The sequence below is a fragment of the Homo sapiens genome, chromosome 14, assembly GCF_000001405.40.
Source record: "Homo sapiens chromosome 14, GRCh38.p14 Primary Assembly".
NCBI classification, from domain to species: domain Eukaryota; kingdom Metazoa; phylum Chordata; class Mammalia; order Primates; family Hominidae; genus Homo; species Homo sapiens.
The window spans coordinates 97,688,774-97,710,974 of NC_000014.9; the positions used below are offsets into that span (position 1 = coordinate 97,688,774).

Sequence of the window (22,201 nt, forward strand, 5' to 3'; positions counted from 1 at the left end):
TGGGGCAAGGGTGCAGAGAACGGTCCGCACTAAGGCCTGGCATGCGTCAGCAATGTGCTAGGTACACCACGGGCTTTGCCTCATTAAATTTCCAGGCATTTTTTCCCAAGAAAGCAGTAGTTCCTTTTTGCATGTGAGGAAATTGAGACTCAAAGACCTGGGTCACAGGTCAAAGTTCATACTGCTATTTGGTAGCCAAGAAGGAATTCAAATCCTGGTCCCAGCCTAAACTCTTTAATTTTTCCTATGAAACCGCATGTCTCTCTTTACATGCTTGCCTGTGCTTTTGATTACTTTGGGATATATTCTAGAAATGCTGAGCAGAACCACGAGGGAGGGGTTTAGGGTCAAGAAGCAGCTCACCAGCCACAAGCATCACTTTTCTCTGGGCTAGGACTAGATTCTGTAAGTAAATACCCAAGTGAAAGAGAATGCTTTTCTTGGAAAATGTTGGTAACTTGATGCATGTAAACAAACTCTTTTGTAAGAGCCTCTGTCACATGGGGGCCTGCGGGCAAATTCTACCAAGCAGAGAACAGTTTTCACTGCAAAAACTCAAAGGAAGACAAGCTTGGTAATGAGAGCTAGCATTTATTGACCGCTTACTAGTGCCACGCATTATGCGGGTACTTGTGAGACATAATTTACTCTTCCCTGCAACCCTTTAGATATTAGCATGTCCCCCATTGAATAGATCAGGAAACTGAGGCACCAGACACATAGAAAGAAAGAGGCAGAGAAGGAAGACAAAGCAGGCAGTCTGGTTTCAAAAGCTCAGCTCCTGATCAATAAACTCTACTCTCCCCTGGTCCTTTTAAAGAGGGAGCTTTTACTACCTGTCCTGTTAATGTTGGGGATTCCCAACCCAATGAAGGCCTTCCCTGTTAGCAGTTAATCATTCAGTATATGACTATATCACTTTGCTAGGGATGTCATACAGAGTTTCACAAACTGGGTGGCTTAAAAAAAGCAGAAATGGCCAGGCGTGGTGGCTCACACCTGTAATCCCAGCACTTTGGGAGGCCAAGGTGAGCGAATCATGAGGTCAGAAGATCGAGGCCATCCTGGCCAACATGGTGAAACCCCATGTCTACTAAAAATACAAAAATTAGCTGGGTGTGGTTTTGCAGGCCTGTAATCCCAGCTACTCGGGAGGCTGAGACAGGAGAATCTCTTGAACTTGGCAGGCGGAGATTGCAGTGAGCTGAGATTACGCCATTGCACTCCAGCCTGATGACAGAGTGAGACTCCGTCTCAAAACGAAACAAAAACCCCCCAGAAATTCATTGTCTTACAGTTGTGGAGGCCAGAGTCCAAGATCAAGGTGTTGTCAGCAGGGTGTTGCTTCCTTTGACGGTTTTAGAAAAGGACCTGTTCCAGGCCTTTCTCCTAGCTTCTGGTAGCCTCAGACATGTCTTTGCTTGTCATTGTGTCACTCCAATCCCATGCCTTTTCATTGTGCTCTCTCTGTGTGTGTCTATTCCTGTGTCCACATTCTCCCTTTTTATAAGGACACCCAACATACTGGATTAGGGTCCAACCAAATAACCTCATTTTAACTTGATTACCTCTTTTAGGACCCTGTTTACAAGTTAGGTCACATTTTGAGGTACTAGGGGTTATCATTTGTGGATATCTTTCTTGGGAGGACACGCTTCACCACATAGCAATATCTAATAAATTGGAAGCTTATAAAGACCATTGCAATAGGCCAAAGTGATTTTTCCAGCTCCATTTCCTATCACTCGCCTCCCACCCTCAACCATGAACCTGGCACACCAGTTGCACAGCCTTGCTCCATTTTGAACACATTGTCACCCTCTTTGCCCCTTTGCTCTGCTTCCCCTGTCTGGAGTATCCTTAATCACTCTGTCTATCTACCTCACAAGTCTAGGCTCATTCTTCAAGGATAAGGGCTCAGACCATATCCTCCTAGAAGTCACTCCAGATCCCAGAACCCCACAATGTTAGTATGTTAACCATGGTTACATAAAGCATGCGTACGTTCCAGCATGATAGAAAAATCTGTGTACCTCTGTTTAAATTTAAATTTAAAAATTGGCCAGTCATGGTGGCTCACGCCTGTAATCCCAGCACTTTTGGACGCCAAGACAAGTGGATCACTTGAGTCCAGGAGTTCAAGACCAGCCTGGCCAACATGGTGAAACCCTGTCTTTACTAGAAATATAAAAATTAGCCAGATGTGGTGAGGCACACTTGCAATCTCAGCTACTTAGGAGACTGAGACATGAGAATCACTTGAACCTGGGAGGCGGAGGTTGCAGTGAGTCAAGATTGCGCCACTGCACTCCAGCCTGGATGATAGAGCGAGACACTGTCTCAAAATGAAAATAAAAATAAAAATAAAAATGAATAAATTGAAAAAGTATCAGAAAGAGATGATTGCTTTGATTAGGGTTAGATAACAAAAACAAGAGCAGTTAGTCAGTTAGAGGCACAGTGGAGGAGAATGTCCTGGGCCTATCTCAGAGAAGGATTCAGGAGCCACACACAGATGATGTGCCTCTGCCTGGGACCATTTGTGGCACCTTCCTGTACCCTGGGATAAATTGTTAGTAAAATCCTTGAAGTGAGAAAGTATTTAGGTTTATCTGTGGGGACACCAAAACAGGAGAAAGAAAGGAATTCTACATCCTGTTTTTCACATACCATGGGGGATGAAAGGAAGCCCAGGGAACCTCAGGTGGCTTACTGGGGAGAGGAGAAGCAAGTGGGCTGGATCCTTAGGCTGATGGGGATAAAGGAAAGACCATGGGGAAGGGATTGTGTGGACCAAGCAAGGAAAACAATCATGGTAATTGCAACTGCTTCTAATACCAGAGATCACACACCTATCCTAGGTCATGCGCTGGGCTAGTTGTTTGATACATTTATCTCAGCTATTTATGACATACAGAACACAGATAAGAAAGTGAGGGTACAAGACTGGTAACTAACTTTCCCAGGGTCACACAGTCAACGTTATAAGTGGTAGTCAGACTTGGAGTTCTGAAGAACAATATTGAATATTATTGTGTGTTTTAGGAACCCAGCACATTTCCTAGCACATAGCAGGTCCGCAGTAAACACTTGCTGAATTTTGCCAGAGAAAAGAGAATAACCTACTATTCAAAAACATCTACAGGGCTTCTGAGGCCCTGAACAAAGTCTCTATTGAATGGGGGTCCTTCAGTCTTTATGACTCAAAATTCACTGTTGTTACTTTCTGTGTTCTTCAAATGACTATATCAAATTGGGTGTCAGCCTGGCTGAATGGCCAGGGCCCAGGCTCCCAAGTCAGACATACCTGGCTAGAATCCCAGCGCTGCCACCTAGTAGCTGTGGAGGATGTGGGCAAGTTCCTTCACCTTGCTGACCCTCGTTCCTTCATCTATAACACACAGCCTGTAAGGCCTCCCTCAGGGTTTGCTGTGAAGACTAATGATACGGTGCATGTGAAATGCCTGGTGACCAGCAGGCATCCTGTGACAGATGGCAGTTATTCCTATTAGTGGTGTGGCTTCCTTGCTTGCTGGTGTCACTTCCTGGTGCCTGGAAGCCGACGGGAGTGCATGCCTTCCCACGTAGATCAAATGACCACTTTGGATGATTATAGGGTTTGGTGTGTGTGAGAGGTTGTTTTAAACAACCTCTCCACAATTGCCCTCTTGGCTACAACAGAAGTGAGTCAGAGGGGAGCATATGGAAGGTGGAAAGGAATCAGGGAGGGTCAGATACCCCCAGGTACAAAGAACCACCTGGACAGGCTTCTTCACCCAGGTTCCCAGGTACAGGTGATAGATCTTGAGCCTGAGTAAGGGAATGGGGAGCTTGCTAGAAGAGTGTTCTCTAACCTGTAATTCACGGAACTTGGGGAGACACACTTTGGAACACTTTGTTAACACTTCATAATCTAGGCATTGACATTCTTTAAGGACAAATAAGAAAGTTTAAATGACAGTGGAGGTCAACACTGAGTTCCTGAAGACATAACCTGCTGGCTCCCAAGTGCCATCTCTCTTCTCCACTTTCCACTGGAACATTGTTCTATCCCTCTCTACTCTTCTACAATGAAAGAAAGCTGATAATCAATCATGGAGCACCCACATTACGTGAGGAGCTGGACTGGGAACTTACATAATACCGGCATCACTTCAACCCCTGCTAAATAATATCTCACACTTATTGAGCTCTTACCATGCGCCTATGACCTGTGTATATCTACATAATTTTTATTTAATACTCACAATAAGCTTTTCAGTTAGGGACCTTCATTGTAGTCTTCATTTCAAAGGTGAGGAAGTTGAGGCTTAGTGATTTCTTAAGGTCAAAAGGTTAGAACTTAAAGAAGCCAGGATTTAAACCCAGGTCTGACCTGAGATGATGAAACACTGTGACCATTACAAGAAACCAATGGGGAAAAGCAGGGTTATTCTCACTTGGGTGAGGCAGAGCAAGGCAACCAAAAGCAAGTCCTTTTGGGTTGGAGACACCTGAATCCTCATCCAGGTGCAAGCAACTCCTTCCCAACTCTATCATGGTAGCTAAGTACCTTCATTGCTCTGCAAGATGAGGGGAGAAGAGGGTTGGTGATGCTGGAGTGTCACTATGTGCACCAACATCCTGCAGGTCTGGCACATAGTAGACTCTGGCACATAGCTGTGACAGAGGACAGCATTCATTCTGATGTCTGAGTTCCAGTGGCTAGGAGGTGGGGTCCTGGGAGTGAAGCTGGAGCTCACTGATCCTGAAGCCTGTGCTCTTTCTACAGAGCAGCTTTGCCTCAACAGGCACATAAATGCACATCATGGCGAAATTCAGTTTAACCCTGGCGGGGGGTGGGGAGGGACTCCTGCTTTTGTGTTTCTCTCTCTCTCTCTCTCTCAGGATTGTGCACACTGGAGATATCGAAAGGTGTTGGGAGGAAATGTGGAGATGCTTTTGCCTCTCAAGGGAACCCAGTAGCACATATAGAGCTTTTGAGTAATTACAGAAAGACTGCTCCTTCCTCTGGACAGGCTCGGTTCCACGTGAGGATGCCCAGCATTGCAAGCAGAAAGTGGGCTAGATTCTGTCCACCACTTTCCCTTTGGCCAGGGGTTCATGTGTACAACTGAACACAGCAGCCATTGGTCTCCCCAAGCCCAATTTAAAGAGCAGGAAACTGAGGCCCAGCTAGGAACTGCCTTAGCCACCAAGTGGGTAGCACCAAGTGGACAGCACGATGAACCTTGGCTCTCAGCCTCTGCACTACCATCCCTGCTCTGCTCACAGGGTGATGAGGGGCTTTGGCCCAAGCATGTGTGAGTAGCTGCTGCTGCTTGGTGCTCTGCCCAGGACTCATGGGGTATCAAGGAAAGAGCACTCAATGGGAAGCCAGAGACCTACTCTACTGCCAACTAGCATGGGCCTTGTTCAAGCTACTCCACAGCTTTGATTAGTGGGCTTAATTAAATTGAATTAATAATACTTCCCTCAAAGCCTTGTCCTAAAATATACATGAGAAAACAGGGTGAAGCCCCCTAGCCCTAGACTAGCACAATATGTATGAGTTGCACCAAGCCTCTGGAGAAAAGTCCAAGCCTCTTGGGCAGGAGATCAAATAGGAAAGGGTCTGTGACTTGAGTGAGACCTTAGGACACACACTGAACTTCTTGAGCCCAGGACACCTGTATCTCCAGTGCTGGCATCAAAATTGGCTCATTGAAAGGAATCAAATAATGTGATGAAGGCTGGCTGGGCCAGGTGGCTCACCCCTGTAATCCCAGCACTTTGAGAGGCCGAGGCGGGCAGATCACCTGTGGTAAGGAGTTCGAGACCAGCCTGGCCAACATGGTGAAACCCCATCTCTACTAAAAATACAAAAACTAGCCAGGCATGGTGGCAGGTGCCTGAAATCCTGGGTATCTGGGAGGTTGAGGCAGGAGAATCGCTTGAACCCAGGAGGTGGAGGTTGCTGTGAGCGGAGACCGCACCATTGCATTTCAGCCTAGGCAACAAGGGGGAAACTCCATCTCAAAAAACAACAACAACAAGCTATATCACATGCTCATGGTCACAGAGCATATGAGTAGCAGAAACAGAAGTCAAGTCCAGTTTTCTGTGGACTGTAAAACTTGAAGTCTTTCTTCTGCTTCCCTTGCCTCCTCTGGGAAGAGCAGCAGACAGCAACACTTGGGGCAGTCCCCATAGCCTGTACTCGGGGTGTGTGGGGTCCATTTCTGGGTTTTCACTTACATGTTGTTGTTTTTTTAGAGGACTTCCCTTTTCCTCATAATACCGAGTCTTACAAATTTTCACCTCTTCCCGAAATTATTCTGCTACTGGTTTCGACAGGACCAGTTGCTGCCTTCTGAGTAAGGGGAATGGGCTGTTGAATCATCACCTTTGCTGCTGATTTTCCCAGAAGCACAGAATGGTCCTGTAGCCCTGAGTCCCACATCAGAAGGACCACCCATCTCTCCTTGAAGAAAGCAAATCGTATTTTCTTAACAAACCCAAATGACAGCCTCTTTGGTCCCACAACTAGCATTTCCTGAGAGTTCATGAATTCCAAAGTTATTTGAGCAATTTAGCCTTTGAAGCTCAGCTTCCACCTTGGACTCTCAGAATTATTTCTTGGAAAAACGATTAGCACTGAAAAGCTCTATGAAAATTGGCATCCATGGATGGTCGTCTCATTATGCGAAGTGCCCATAGATTCACCTCCAAACACCTTGTGATTTCACAAGGGCTATTATCTTCCAGCTACATCTCTTCTTTGGAGCTTATTACTTAAATAAAAAATGTTAATTGTTTCTGAGAAGTGTGCAGTGAGGAATGGGGGCTGCCATCTCTGAGGAACCGGGTCTTCAAATTCCCAGGCTGCTACTCACTTTCTTGCCAAATGCTGGAAGCTCTCCACCAGCCAACTATCAATTTATGTGGACTGAGTCACAATTTACATCAAGCACTATTTCCATACGGGGTGTTATTTATTGAGCCTGGTACCACAGCGAGGAGGGTGAGCTCCTGAGTAATTAGAATCCTGTCCTAGCTGGGGAGTGAACAATGCCTTCCTCCTATCTCTGCTTTCTAATGGGTTTGCAATGGCGCTATCTCTGCTTCCATAAATAATGTGCTCCATGTAAATAAGGAGTCATTAAAAATGGGGCAGGACCCACACATCATTTCATAAACATGAGGGAAGTACTTAGGAAGAGGATCATCAATAAACAGGCTGTGCTCTGCGTTACAAAACTGAAGCTGCTCTGCTGTGTACACACTGCCTTTTGTAGCTTCAACCCTTCCATTCTTGCTAACTCCACATTAACTGCTGTAGGTATACATCTGGGCATTACCAGCACAGTTCCTGGAGGCAGATAGATCTGCATACGGAGCTGCAACTCTGAGCTGTGCAATCTTGGGCAAATCACCTGACCTGTCCAAGCCTTGGCTTTCTTCTCTGGACCGTGGCGCTAGCACAGCCTACTTGATTTGTATACCAAAATTCATGAATGGGTTCTATTAGGTTGGGAGCAGGCAGGAAGCAACTTTATTCTTTCATGTAATTTTCTTGCCTCTGTGTTATGTCGGATCCCTCTTCTCTATTCCTGTCTTGGAATTGTTAAGATGTGTAGTCCAGTTGAATAAAATCCTCATCCTGTTTAAAATTTGGGTTGGATGAATGGAAATGCCAGCAGTGGAGAAGGCATGAGTTCTCCTCTCTCTAACCCCTTCTGCTCCATGTCTTCCTCCCTCTCCCTGGGATGTGTGGTCCTTTAAGAAAGGGGCCACATTGAAGGGTGGGTACAGAAGAGATGGTAGTACCCATAGAGCCTGGTATATCTGGTACAGTTGCAGCCAAACATTGGTATTTGTATTCAAAGGTAATTCTTTCTTCTTGAGATGCTTTTGTGTGTTCCTCAGAGATCTTACTGGGGACCCCCTTGGTAGTCCCATGGTAGGATGATGGCCTCTCTAATGGGCCTTATATGAGTCTAGTCAGCCCTTAATTTCTAAGAGGTCTCTCCATACTCACCATGCTGAAATCCTCTCACCCTTGTAGGACATTCCCTTGAGCATCCCAAAGCCAGAATCTTCATATTGGCTATTCTGGCTGATACCAAGAGTTTCTAGAAGAAGAGGTGGCTCTGATGGCTGCTACCTGGATTTGCTGTGCCACACTACACTACTTCAGCCAGTCTACCACCTTTAGACTCCTATAGGTAAAAGTCATATGATGGTCCCTATCACCCCCAAAGGTGGGGAACACACGTCAACTCCCCCTAATTATTCTCTTGAGGCTTCTTCAGTTGCTAAGGGTTACCAGAGAGCTGCATGCCAGTGACTGTTTCCAAAGAGGCTTTCATTCTTCAGCCTTCTTTCCAAAAAATTCCTAGGCTGCCAAGAGTATTTGATGGGCTGATGAGGGCAGAACCAGGTATGGCTACTTTAGAATATGAGGGCACAGGTCACTGTTTTTCTTGACCTTGGCACTCAGCTGACAAATAGACAAAAGGAAATGTCTCAAATTTCATTGGCTGTAATAGAGATTGAATGAGAATATGTTTTAAGTGCTTGGCAATAATGCAAAGTAAGATGTGAGTGAAGTTTAGTTCTCAGAATTATACACTGTCGAGTGTCAGATGATCAGCACACACATCACCCATGCTTGGGCTGGGTCCTATTCTACCTGCTTTAGCTACAACAATGGCCCTATGAGAAAGGTCCTGCCATCATCTACCTGATGTGAATTAGGACTCTAAGGTATGGAAAGGCTCCATGACCTGGGAAGTGCGCCCAGGAGTAGGTCCAGATGGGCTCCTACTCACCTTCCTATAGGCCTCAAGAGGCGCGGGCACGTGGAGCTCTCTTCTTCCAAAGAGGCATCTATGCAAACAAAAGTCATTCCTGGGAATCCATCAGGGCTCCATCTGCATCCACTCCTCTCTTCCTTGCTTGCTCCTTGTTTGTGCTGGTGGTGGCTTCTGTCCCCCAAAGGTCCTCTTCAGTCTCAACTAATTGTCCTGGTGCCATTGGACCTTGGCTCTTGTAAAAGTGGTGTGAGGGCTGAGTCCCCTCAGTCCAAAACCTTTCCTAATCTTAAACTCACACCATCCTAGTATTGATGCTGAATTCATCTTTGGGGCTTTCCCAGCTGAGATGTGTGGTCCGTCTGGTCTACTAGCTCGTCACACTTCTGAGCAGCCATTTCCTCCTGGTTTCTCTTCTTGTTTTGGCTCCAACCCCCACTCCCCAGAGCTTAACACTGGCTCCTCTGATGTGGTATTAGGGTTCTCCTTTCCTGCTGGTAAGACCTAAGAATTCCCTGAGCTCCCATTCATCCTTTAAGCTTGACCCTACCCTGTCCTTCCCATTCTAAACACCACACAGTGTGCTTCCCTGTCCAGTCACCTTCACAGTGCTCTCACTCTTTTCATTTACAACCCTTACCTTCCCATGAGATGACCTTGTCATTTGCCATTTTGTTGGATTGTATTTCCATCTACACCACTAGTGTGTGAGGCATGGTGATATGAAGCTAGTCCAGAGATCAGGTCCCTGCCCTCAGCCGTCTTATAGTCTAGTTAAGGAAAGCAAAGGGCATCTGTTCACTGTGCAAACTGTCCCAAGGCACTGCCCCTCTCTGAGCCTTACATTTTCTGCCTCTCTCAGGAGAGGCTAGGCCACTTGATTAAAGGGGTTGTTCCTGCTTTAAAGACCCATGACTCTGGAGTTGCGGCTTCCCTTAATGTTCCTGGAAGAGCAGACAAGACCAATTTGTGATACCTGAATCTGATTAATGTGGGAACAGTTAACATTGGGAGGAAAGTATCCCCCCACTGCTTCTTCCCTTTCCCCTCCAGGCAGCTTTTATGTTTCTGGGCTTTTATCCCATTATCCCAGCCTCATTTTATTAGTACCACCTGGAGAGGAGCCTGCGCCCCACCAGACACCGGAGCAAATGCAGAGAGTCAGCTCCCCAGGTTTTGTTAGCCTTAGTGCTCTATTTACACACTTCTGGGCCACACCTCTCCTCTCCCTGCTGTTAATCTGGGAAGAAAATCTTTGCCACTGGCCTGGATACCAGGAAAGGAAGAACTTGCTGAAGCCACTTGAAAACTGAATCCACTTTTTAGTTCTTCCTAGCCTAGTGGAATCAGACTGAGGTTTTCAAAACAACTGTATTCTGTCCAAAGAACGAGCATAAAGAAAATAGACAGAACTGAAAGGAAGGAGAGGTTTGGCTGACTTGATCCAGGTGGCTGATCCTAGTCTGCCGGTGACTCCTGATGACTCCTGGCCTTTACCTGTGCTCTACCCCATCAGACAAAAACCTGAACGCATTCCAGTCCTCAAATATGGCATTCTCTCTCTCCTTCCTGAAGCTCTTCACATGGGCCTTTTTACCTGGAAAACACTTGGTTGTACCAACTTCGACATTTCTCCAGAGGTAATATCCTCCAGGCTGTTTATCCTGACCTCTCAAGCTTCAGTGATATGTCTACATCTACCTTCCTATGATATTCAAGTATGAATCTTGACACTTGGCCTGCAGTAATGAAGTTCAGCTATGCATGCTGGTACTTTCTACTGTCTGCAGGGGAGGAGTTATGACCAGTAAATGAGAAGGTCAAACACAGGGTAACAAGGCAGTGCTAGAAGGAACCTAGGGAGCTTTGGGAGCTCAGGGAAAGGGTTATTTACCCAGGTATGGGCACCACGAAAGACTCCTCAGAGAAGAGGCTTAAAAGATGAGTAGAAAGATAAGGAGATTGGAAAAGGTCTTCTAAGAAAAGAAGACACTATGTGCAAAAGTTTAACAGTGAGAAAAAAATGGTGTGAGGTTAAGAGGATTGTATCAGTTAGCTTTTGCTGAGTAACAAGTCACCCTGATACTTAATGACGTAAAAAACAAAAACCACTTACTTGGATCACAGTTTTGCTGGTCAGCAACCTGAGATGAGCTCAGATTTGGAATGGGTAGTTCTGCTAATTTAAGCCAGACTTAGCTGATCTTGGCTGGGCCTCACTCATGCATCTGAAGACAGGTGCTAGGTTTTCTGGAAACTGGCTGCTGTCAGATGCAGTGCCTCTTATCTTCTCAACATGGCAACCAATCATCCAGCAGTTTATCTCAGGCTTTCTTATTTTCTGACTTATCAGGGTTGTAAAAGAGAAATCAGAGCCTATATGTTTTTTTTGAGGTCTGAACTCAGAATCTGTCCAGCACCAAGTTTTGCTACATTGTACTGGGCAAAGCAAGTATCCCGGATTCCAAGTAGAATATATTGGCTGTGTGCCCGTGTTTTCTGTGTGTCTTCTGCAGAGAATTCCATTCCATGCAGAACGGCCATCTTTATGCAATCTTCTTTGGGGTGTAAGCCTGGAGAAGCAATCCACAACCATATTATGAGAAGATTTATGAAGTCTACTAAAGTTTGGATTTTCCTTCAGGATAAAGGGAAAATTTGTTAAGTATTTTTAACAAGAAATGAAAGACATCAAGATGTACACAATTTGGAAGTTGCTCCCTGGGTACTCTTCTGTTGGTGTGAAAAAGACTACTACTTGCCTAAGTAGACCCAGAGAACTCATCTGCCTCTGGATTCCCAGGGCTGCAATTCACCAACCCTTGGTCTAAACAGAGTTAGTAGGCATGTGAAGAATTTATTAAGCACCAGCATGAAGGTAGGCATAGAGATCCATAGAACTGAGATGAAAATCCAGAAATGGACCCTTGCATTTGTGGTCAATTGATTATTGGCATCAAGACCAGCCAATGGGGAAAGAATACTCTTTTTAACAAACAGTGCTGGTACAATGGGCCATCTGCATGCAAAAGAATGAAGTTGGACTCAGTCACATGTTTTACACAAACATTAACTCAAAATGGAAATAAACATAAATGCAAGAGTAACACTATAAAACGCTTAGAAGAAAACATAAGCATAGTTCTTCATGACCATACACAGGGCAACAGTGCCGTCAATATGGTATGGAAAGCACAAGTGAGCAAAGAAAAAAAAGATAAACTGGTCTCATTCAAATGGAAAACTTTTGTGCCACTAAGTGAAGATTGAAAAAAGTGAAAGATTAACCCACAGAATGAGAGAAACTATTTGCTAAGAGATACTTGAAAATATTGACAAGGGTCTTACATCCACAATATATAAAGAACTCTTACAAGTCAGCAATAGAAAGGCAGACTAATACTCCAGTTTAAAAAAGTGGGCAGAATATTTAAATAGAAATTTCTCCTAAGGAGATCGATCAATAGCCAATAAGCACAGAAAAGCTGTTCAACACTACTAGTCTTTGGGAAAACGCAAATTAAGACCATAAGTATCACTTCGCACCCATTAGGATGGCTAGAATAAAAAAGACAGTAACCTCTGTTGGTAAGAGTATGCAGACATTGCTGGTGTGAATGCAAAATGTCACGGCTACTTTCGGACATAGTTTGGCAGTTCCTCAAAAAGGTAAACATAGAGTTACCAAGAGTCTGCAACTCCACTCCTAGGTATTCCCAAGAAAAGTAAAAACAAATGTCCACAGAAAAGCTTATATGAGAATGTTCATAGCAGCATTACCCATAATAGCCCCCAAATGGAAACAACACAAATAACCATTAACTAATAAATGGATATATTAAATGTTATATAGTCAACCAAGTGGAATATTATTTGGCAATAAAAAGGAATGAAATATGATATGATATGGATGAACTTTGAAAACATCACGCTAAGTAAAAGAAGCTACATATCTCATGATTCTGTTTATATGAAATGATCAGAATTGGCAAATTTATAGAGCTAGAAGGTAGATCAGTGGTGTGTAGGGCTGGGGTGAGGGTGGAGAAATGGGGGAAATGAGAATTGATGGCTAATACATTTGGGAGTACTACTTTTAGTAGGGGAAAACATTCTAAAATTAGATTGTGGCAATGATTACACAAACTTGTGAACATACTAAAAATCACTGAATTGTGTGCTTTAAATAAGATGAGTTATGTGGTAAATAAATTATATGTTAATAAATCTTTTAAAAAATTACTCATCACTAAATTAAGACATATTAGAGAAACTGTAGCAGAAGCAATGGCAATGCCTACCTAAATATAAAAGGGGTGTTGAGAAAAAGGAAAAGGAAATATTTGCAGAGGTGCCCAGGTCTCACTTAAGGACATCTGAAGGTTGATGGTGCCAGGTACATAGACCAGAAGGCTTGCCATAGATTATTTGCTGCTTCTGGGATGACTCACAGTGGCCAAAGTCTTCATATGATCCATACTGTGTGACCAGGTCTCCTGAGTAACTTTTCTTCTTAATCACGTTACAGAGAGATTCCTGGCAGATCTCGAACAGGCTGTTGTGAATCTGCACGCAGGTTGCACACTGTGCAACTTGAGTGGCTCAGTTTCATCACAGTCCTGCAAAGTCAGGCCCCTGAAGATGCAGAGCATCCAGCCTGCCCGGCCATTTGCTGTGGCCCTGGCTATGCATCCATCTGCAGGCCAGTAACTTTGTTGATGTCTAACTGATTTTCAGAGGTTGCTCCTAAGAGGGATTTCTCTCAGGTCTCAAAAAGAGAAAAAAAGTATCTGCTTTTCCTGATTTAGTCTGTTCTTAGCTGGTAAACTCTTAGAGTATTTAACTGATTATGATTGTTTGGGCCCCTGAGAAGGCCACAAGTTAAATTTGCAGTTTTCTTTTAGTAATTTTCTAAAACTTTGGACAATGTTTCTCAAACCATAGTGTAAATTGTCTGGAAATTGAAACATTAAAATATGCTGTTTGCATATCTGCCCTCAACTATGGCCATTTAGCAGGTCTAGAAACGGGCTAAGAATCTACGTTTTGGCCAGACAGCAGGTGATTCAGATACAGGGGGTAAATAGATGACAAATTTAGATACCTCCCCTCATGGTAAGCCCTTTTATCATTTAATTCTTCCTTGTTCTATCTTATCTATTTTTTTTATCATTGTTCCTTTCAACAGATGTGTGTGTATGCTTACTTACAATTTGTTATTTTCATTTTAAATCAAGTTGTTTTTGTAAATAATGCAGGCTATGAACTTATCAATTAATTAATTAGTATATGAAATTTGCACAGCATATTGCAGTTTCAAGGTGCTTGTGCAGGCATAATTTTCTTTCCTGTGACCCTCAAAGCAGCCTCCTGAATTCTGTATTGTTATTCTAGTCTAACACATTAAAAAAAAAAAAAACCGAGGTTTAGTGAAGTAACTTACAGGAACAAGAAAGTACTAACTTAAAAAACGAAAACAACTGAAAGGACTACCTGTGCGGCATGCCCAGTATGGGCACTCTATGATGCTGCAAAGATAGAGTTACAGGCATTTGCAGAAATGGGTCGAGTTTCCATCTCAGAAGGGAAGTGATCTTTCTAAAAATTTACCCACGAGAAAAAGCAGCCGATCTCAGCTCTGGTTTCAGACCGGAGATCAACAACCCTTTATCGGGTTGTTCAGGTGACCTCTCTTGGTCCAGCCTTGTTTCAACACATCTCCGGCATCTGAAACCACATTAGTTATCCCCTCCCCTACCACCTGGGCTCTGACCACAGTGGGAGCCTTACCGAATATCAGGGTGTTGAATATTCACAGCCAACCATGCGCATGCTCCTGTGGGGAGAGGACCTCCCCATGCCCAGGCCTCCTGGAACTGCAGGGCTTAGAGTTCGGACGGTGGATAGAAAGGGAAGGCACAGGGCAGCAGTGATTAGATCTGGTGCCTGGCAGACCTGCTAGGAAGCAGCAAAGTTCAGTGGGAAAAGCTAGGCAGCTCTTGGTCTAGATTCCAGCTTGATTTCTCAGACTGTAAAAATTCTCTTATGCAACTGACTTAATGTCTATAAAGCTTTAGATTCCTCACCTATAAAATAGGGTTTCTGATACCCACATCTAAGGTTCAAGTGATAAGCACATAAAGCAAAGTGTGTAGTCTGCCCCAGGTGTATCAGTCCTCACAATAAGTTAGATCATCTTTCTTTCCCTCCCTGTGTTTATTTAATTGGCTCCATGATTTGTTTCCCATTGCTGCCGTAACAAGTTAGCATGAACTTAGAAGCTTAAAATAACACAAATTTATGATCTTGCAGTCTGGAAGTTAGAAGCCCCAAATCAGGATGCCAACAGGCTGGCGTTCCTTCTGGAAGCTCTAGAGGAGAGATTGTTTCCTTCTCTTTTCTACCTTCTAGAGGCTGCTTGCATTCCTTGGCTCATGGCCACTTCCTTTATCTTCAAAGTACATCACTTCATCCTCTGCTTCTGTGGTCACGTCTTCTTCTCTGACTCTGACCCTCCTGCTTTCCTCTTATAAGGACCCTTGTGATTACATTGGGCTCATTCAGATAATCCAGGATAATCTCCCATCCCAAGACCCTTAATCTAATAACATATGCAAAATTATCTTTTGCCAGGTAAGGTGACGTATTCACAGGTTCCAGTCATTAGAATGGGAGCATCTTTGGGGGTCATTACTGAGTCTATTACGAAGGAAGGTCCAGAAGATGCCTCCATAAAAGCATGTCCTAAAGCCATGGCTAAGAAGATGATGGTGGAACATGAAACATGTTTGCTACAATAATTTAAGCCACATCTAAGAGAGATGTGGAGCCACAGGGCACTGTAAGAGCTTCCTGCATCCTCATAGGGTGTCCTAAATTAGAACACACTCAGATCTTTTCCTTCAAGCACTAACCCATGAAAATCCCTCTGAAAACTCCACCGCCATTTGTTCTTCAGTCTCTGCCAAGCTCCTCCAGTGATGACAATCCCCAGGTTTCCTAAGTTCAGCTTTACCTGTAAGAAATTCTTTCTAGATATGGAAAAGATCTCTCTGAAACCTGCTTAGGCTCTTTCATTCTGTCCCTGGAGCCACAAAGAAGAAAAACCCAGCCCCTTTGCCTTCAGAGATCTTTTCCTTTTGCAGACAGTGAGTGATTGTGAATGCCTCTTCCTGTTTACACTCTGGTAAGAGTTTACATCTCCATAATAAACATTCTAATTTTCTTAACTATTTCTTGTGTAAAACAGTTTGGAATTCCCCTTTCATCCTGGTTACTCTCCTCTGATGCATTCTATTTTTTAATGACTTATTGAAAAATTAAAAAAAATCAGACTGTAAAAATAATTTACATTCCCTTTTGAAATTTGAAACAACAAAGAAGAAAATCAGTTACCCATAAATCCATCACCAGTGAGAACCACTGAGTGTGTATTTTTTCCAGTCCTGGGATAGACCTGGATTATAATCTAACTGCTCTCACAGAGGCATTGTGTGACTGTGGCTCTCTCCTCCCACCCCCACTTTTTTCATCTCCAAGATAAGATGCTAGCTTTGAATTCTTTTTTCCCTCTATATATCTGTGAAAGTCATTTGTTTCAAATATTCACACTGGATTCTGGCTAGAATAGAAGAGCCTCGCTTATTATTAACTTTTTGAAAAGAATATTACTTCTGAAGGCCCAACTTATAAGAAAATGTATGATTTGTCCGTGGAGATGTCAGCCTGAATTCTGCTGAGTCATCTTATTACATTTCCACAGTCCTGGGTCTCAGTGTTACCCCATTGAGTGGATCTCACTCCAGTCCTTAGCACTGGGGTCTCCAACAGCCTTGGAATTTGTTTTCTGCCTTGTATCCATTTCCTCACAATTGCATCTCCCCAGAGCAGCTCCATGTTTATTAGACAGTCATGAGGAAATGGAGGCCTTCTCTGAGGAACAGAGAAGTAGGGGTTCAAATCTGGAACTCTGAGTGGCATGCGATGCCAATCTTTTCTTGGTAGTAAACAGCCTGTTTGTGAGAAATCAGACTTTACAAAGTCCTTTAATATACATCTCACTTGAACCTCACAACAACCCATTAGGTTATATCTTTATATAACCTTTTTTATAGAAAGAAAAGAAAGAAAGAAACCTAAACTTTCAGAGAGATTCAGAGAAGTGAATTTAAACTTTTTCAACCTCAATGCATAGTAAGATATGCATTTAACTACAATCCAGTCCAAATATATGCATGGAACGATAGACAGACAGACAAACTAGATACAGACACATAAACAGATAGAGAAATAGCCAGATACATATATAGGCAAAATGAGAAACAGAAGTTTTACCAAACATATTTACAGCTAGCTAGCTATGTGACAGATAAACTAAACAAAAGTTGCCCAAAACAACATTCCTTCCAAATGTGGGTGTTTAAATCTGATATTTTCTATTTTATAATATTCTGTTTTGTTGTTTTGAAACGCCAGTTGTACTCAGCTGATTTCATGAACCTCCAGCAGGTCATGACCATAGTGTGAAAACACTGGTGTTGAAACCCTAACCAAGAGTGCACAGCCCAGTGTACAGCAGAATGAGCCTCCTGTCACCAGCCCAGAGCTCTCAGACAGAATTGAGTTCCTGTACAGTAGGACTTTCCACTCATGTCTGTGGTCTAGGAGGAGATTGGGTTGGGCAAACACCAGGCACGATGGAGCAACCATTAACCCTGGAGTTGTGAAGACAGGTGAGGTGTCTGGGAAAAAGCAGGGAGGTGTCTGGGAAAAAGCAGGGAGGCTGGAATGCCACAGAAGTGGATTCTAACCCTCAGAGGCTGGCTTCACTGTTCAGGTCATCACTTCCTGCTCAGTCTCAGTCCCTAATAAATGAAATGTCTGCTCAGCAGCAATGTTGGAAGAATTAAATAAATTGAGTGGCTTATATGAAGCTTATGACCAGTGCTGTGAGCTCAACTGATCCTAGCCTCCTTTTTCTAAGGACATTCCATATATAGCATATTGCTGTAGTGGGGTGCTCTGAGGCAGGGCCCCAATATTTCTGAAATTCGGGGATCTGAAACATGGAAGCATATATTTCTTTTGGGTGGAGAGTGTTTGTTCCAGGTGAAGTCACACTGGAGATCCAGTTAAACATGCATTGCATAAGGTCAATATCTACCAAAGTTGTGTATGGGGGAAGACATGTAACCTTGGGAAAAATCCAGAATCTATGAAATTATTCGAGTGCTTAATGTTCCCACTAGGATGTTTAACATCTACTGAGTGAAGTGAAAGTCTGCCTTCCTAGGTCTCTAAGGACCACGTGGGGTCTGGCTGAGGCTTGGCATCAGGGCATAGCTGGCTCTTCACAGGGAGATGACCACAGCTGCCCAGGCCATGGTAGGCTGAGAATGAAGGAGGAGGAGCATAGGGACCTTTGTGAGGGCAGGAGGTTTCCGGGTAGAAAGAACAGTGCTAAGTCACTATTGAGGTTGAGGTGCTTCCTCTTTGGGTTGTAAATTCATTCTGCCCTTCCCACTCCCTCAGTGGGATCTGCAACCACAGCAGACCCATGAGGGAAGGAGCAGAGCCCAGTCTGTGCATGTGTGCATGTGTGTGAACATTGAAGTGAGTGGGAGATGGCCATGGTAGTACAGAGAAGTCACAAGAGAATCAGGGAAGAAGGATGGAGAAGGTCAAGCCTCTCCATCCTCGAGGTCAAGGTATGAGAGAGGCAAACAACCAGAGTGTCTGAGAAGGCAGAAGGATGGGTTTCAGTGAATCCTGTGGCATGAAGATTTAGGTTATTAACACGGGGATATGACGGAAGATGGCGCAAGGACAGCTCGGGAGTGAGTTTATGACTCCATGCTTCTGAGACCTGAGCATCCTGCTATGTTCCAGGCACAATGTCAACCCTCTCAGTCATTCATTTATGCCCTAGAATGAGCCTGTAGGCATGGTACTATTGTTATGCCTATTTTACAGTAAACAGAGACACAGAGAGATGAAGAAAATGGACCAAGTTAATAAGTGAAAAAAGGCAGAAATGAACCCAGTTGGGTTGGCTCTGCAGCTTGTCGTTGTAACTGCGATGCCCTGGTGCCTGTCTGTGCTCCGTGTTTCTACCCCACTGCAACTCAATGGGCAAACTGCAGAGACTCCAGTGGCTGTTAAAGTGCAGATACTCCTTTTAAAACTAACCACTTCCCTTTTGCTTTTGACTGAAACTCATTGCAGGACCACAAGCTGAGAGAGGGCAGCAATGGAAACCCAGCCAAACTATTAATGGAAGGCTGGGTCCCATTCTTTATTATCCTTCTGTGGTCTCGTCACCAGCAGGGTGAGCCAAAGCCGAGGGCAAGAACACGCTGGGTGACCTTCCACACCCCAAATGCAAGATCAAGTGCTGTGGAGAAGGAGGTAAGCTGTGGCTCTTCATTAAAGCAAATATCATTAGACATATGTTCAAGATAACAGAGTGTTTTGACCCCAGCAAGCATTTGAACTGCAGTGAAAATTCATTTTCCTTCTCTGAGGGTACAGGAAGCAGAGAATTTTTCCAGGACTAAAGCCACCATTATGAATACGTATTCCTCAATAATGAAACCTGTATTAATAATTGAATTAGTAATTCAACAAATATTTTGGCAGGCCTACTATGTTTTGGGTAGTGTGTGTGTGTGTGTGTGTGTGTGCGCATGCACACCTGCACAGGACATCTTTATAATTTGCTTCTCATCATGTTTTTTCTAGTAACTGCCCAGCTTGACTGTCCATATCTTTACTGTTATTTTAAAATCCACTTTAGTGGTAGAATGTTACTCTGTCCCCTGGCTGTTTTATTGGTCTCGTGTTGGTCATCCAACCCCAAATAAGCCAATCTAAGGCTTATCTAGGAAATTTTGAGACAGAAACTGGGAAATGGGGTACAGTTTTGTTGAGAAAGTCTGGAAGAGAGAAGGGATATGTGAAGACTTTGGCTGAAGTGTTGGCTACCACATTTCTTATCAAGTAGATATGAAAAACAAAAGGAGAGAGGGGAGGGGGCATGAAAGGATGGTGGGAGGGAAGGAGAGAGAGAGAGAGGGAGAGGAAATAAGGGACATGGACAAAAGCTGAGAGGGCCTGAAAGCACCTGACATGAGGATCTTTTTTCTATCCATTCGTGAAGACTACCAGTGTTCCTTTCTTAAGCTCCCTGTGACGTCTCATTATCTTCAGGATAAACTTCCCTTTTTGCTTCATTTATCTAAGTGGAGTTATCAATGCTGCTTCATTGACCTGACCACCAAAGTTGTACCCTAACAAGTCCTCATTAATCCCCACCCATATGCCACTGGCATGCTGGGCACTGAGAATGCCCAGAACTCAGATCCTGCTCCCAAAGCTTCCTAGTCTAGAGAAGGTGATGCTGTTCAGGGATATTAGTTAGCATATGGGGAAAGGATACTCTACTGGAAGACCTCTAGGAAGAGAAGAGTGAATCTTGAGCTGGGCCAGAGTCTGGAGGCCCCTCCCAGACCTCATGCTTCCACTGCGTCTTAGAGGATGTGTCCACTGTCAGCTCAAAGAATCTGTGCAGACCCAGAGGTGCGAAATAGGAAGGCATGAGTCAGTGAGCATGGCTTGGTTTGGCTGTATGGGGGAATTGATGGATTAAGAACGGGTTAGGGCAGGAAGAGAGGCTGGAAGGGAAGTTAGGGGCAGAGTAGGAAGGACCTTCTAGGCCAGTTTAAAGAGTGTGGGCTGGACCTTGGTAAAGCTTGTTAAGCAGGCCCTCCTGTAGAAGTTGCCAGTGATGGTCGCGTTCCATAGCAGACATTCCTGGAGAAAAGGGAAGTTCACTGTAGAACAGTATAGATATTTTCTATTGCCCTAGCTGGAATGAATATTTGATTTGTAGGTTTTCTAAAAGATTCATCTTGAAAAACTTATATAAATATCCTCTTCCTTCTTCTGCATTTGATAAACCAAAAATCTTCAAATTGAAGGATTCTTTATATTTTTTCAAACAGGTATAAACAGGAGAAAAAGCACTGGGTATAACAACCCACAAAAGGTGATGTAAGAATAAATAAGAAGTGAATAGTAATAGTAGCAGCAACAACCGTGGCTGAGTGTTGAGTGTCCGCCATGAGCCAGGGACAGCGCCAAGGGCTGTGTTCAAGAGAAAGGCACAGTAACAAAACCAACTGATGGGGACTGCGAGGGGAGGGGTGGAGAGAGGCTGCCCGGATGCACATCCTGGCTCTGCCCCTTGCTGACAATGTGGGCTTGCATATGTCACATTAGATGGGGGTGTCTATAATAATTTCCTCATAGGGCTGTCAGGAGGATTCAGTGCAATAATTCAAGTTCAGTGCCGGGGACACTGTTAGTGCTCAGGAAGTGTAAATTATTTGTTCCTTAAAATTAAGAAAAAGAGAAATGATTGATAGATAGATAGATAGGACAGAGATAGCTAGAGAGAGAGAGATAAACATTGATATATTTAAAAATACATCTCTCCATCATATTCCAATGCAACTGCAATTCTACACATTTCTTTCATTGCAAAATTCAGTGTGTTTATATGACATGAAATATCAGTTGTAGACCACCTGAGGGGGAAACCAAGAAGGAGAAAAGCTGACAGTGACTCTTCTTGACTGATATTAAGTCTAAAAATGCTGTGATTTATTGACTATTCTTAGTGAGTACAGATGGCTTTGATAAAATGACTTGTATTTTAGTTTATTACTTCAATGAATATATATTGGATAACATTTGGAAAAATAAAATGAATTTTAAAATGTACTTCTCATGTTAATATTTTAGGTATTTTTCTTCTCATTTCTTTTCATACAGTCATTTTACAAAGGATTGTGAATGCACACACACACACACAATTTTGTACCTTTCAATTCCATTTCATTGTTTGATATTCATTTAAAAACTTTGTATACTTTTGTAATAATATGTCAGATATCTGCATATTATGATTTTATATGGATGATACATGATTTACCTACTCTTTGCATTGGATATTTCTGTTGTTTCCAAATGGTAATGATTTTGAATAGACACATGTTCATACCATTAAGAATAACAGGAGATTGTGGTTAACCTACCCCAGTACATTTACAAACACTCAAACCCAGTCCTGGTATCACCAACATCAAAATTGTATTATATGAAGACAATTTTAGGGACAGCTGCAAACACCATAGCAATCCTTGTTTTTGTCCTCCTGAAGGAAGAGAGTACCTAGGCTCTAAGCCACACATATATAGGTTCAGAATCTGCTACTTTCTAGCTGTAGCCTTGGGCTGCTGCTTGACCTCTCTAAGCATTTCCTTTCTCAGCCATAAAACTATAAAATGTGAGTAATATTGCAACCCTCTCCAGGTGATTGTAAAGATTAAATCACATTCCTTTGA

The 22,201-nt window shown here is 43.5% G+C and overlaps 1 long non-coding RNA gene across 2 annotated transcripts in view, besides 1 other annotated feature; it reads left to right on the top strand.

The window, feature by feature from the left end:
• Positions 9,244 to 9,293: an enhancer, noted in NCBI's record as "active region_9001". NCBI's record gives its function as "activates an Ori minimal core promoter by ATAC-STARR-seq in GM12878 lymphoblastoid cells {active_cell/tissue: GM12878}" and the evidence as "EXISTENCE:reporter gene assay evidence [ECO:0000049][PMID:35858748]".
• LOC105370651 (uncharacterized) overlaps positions 17,362 to 22,201 on the top strand; it is a 91,436-nt gene continuing 86,596 nt past the window's right edge. For both annotated transcript variants that reach the window (XR_944186.4, XR_944185.3), the window contains exons 1-2: positions 17,362 to 17,527; positions 19,020 to 19,202. This is a non-coding gene — a long non-coding RNA (uncharacterized LOC105370651). The remainder of the gene's footprint in view (positions 17,528 to 19,019; positions 19,203 to 22,201) is intronic.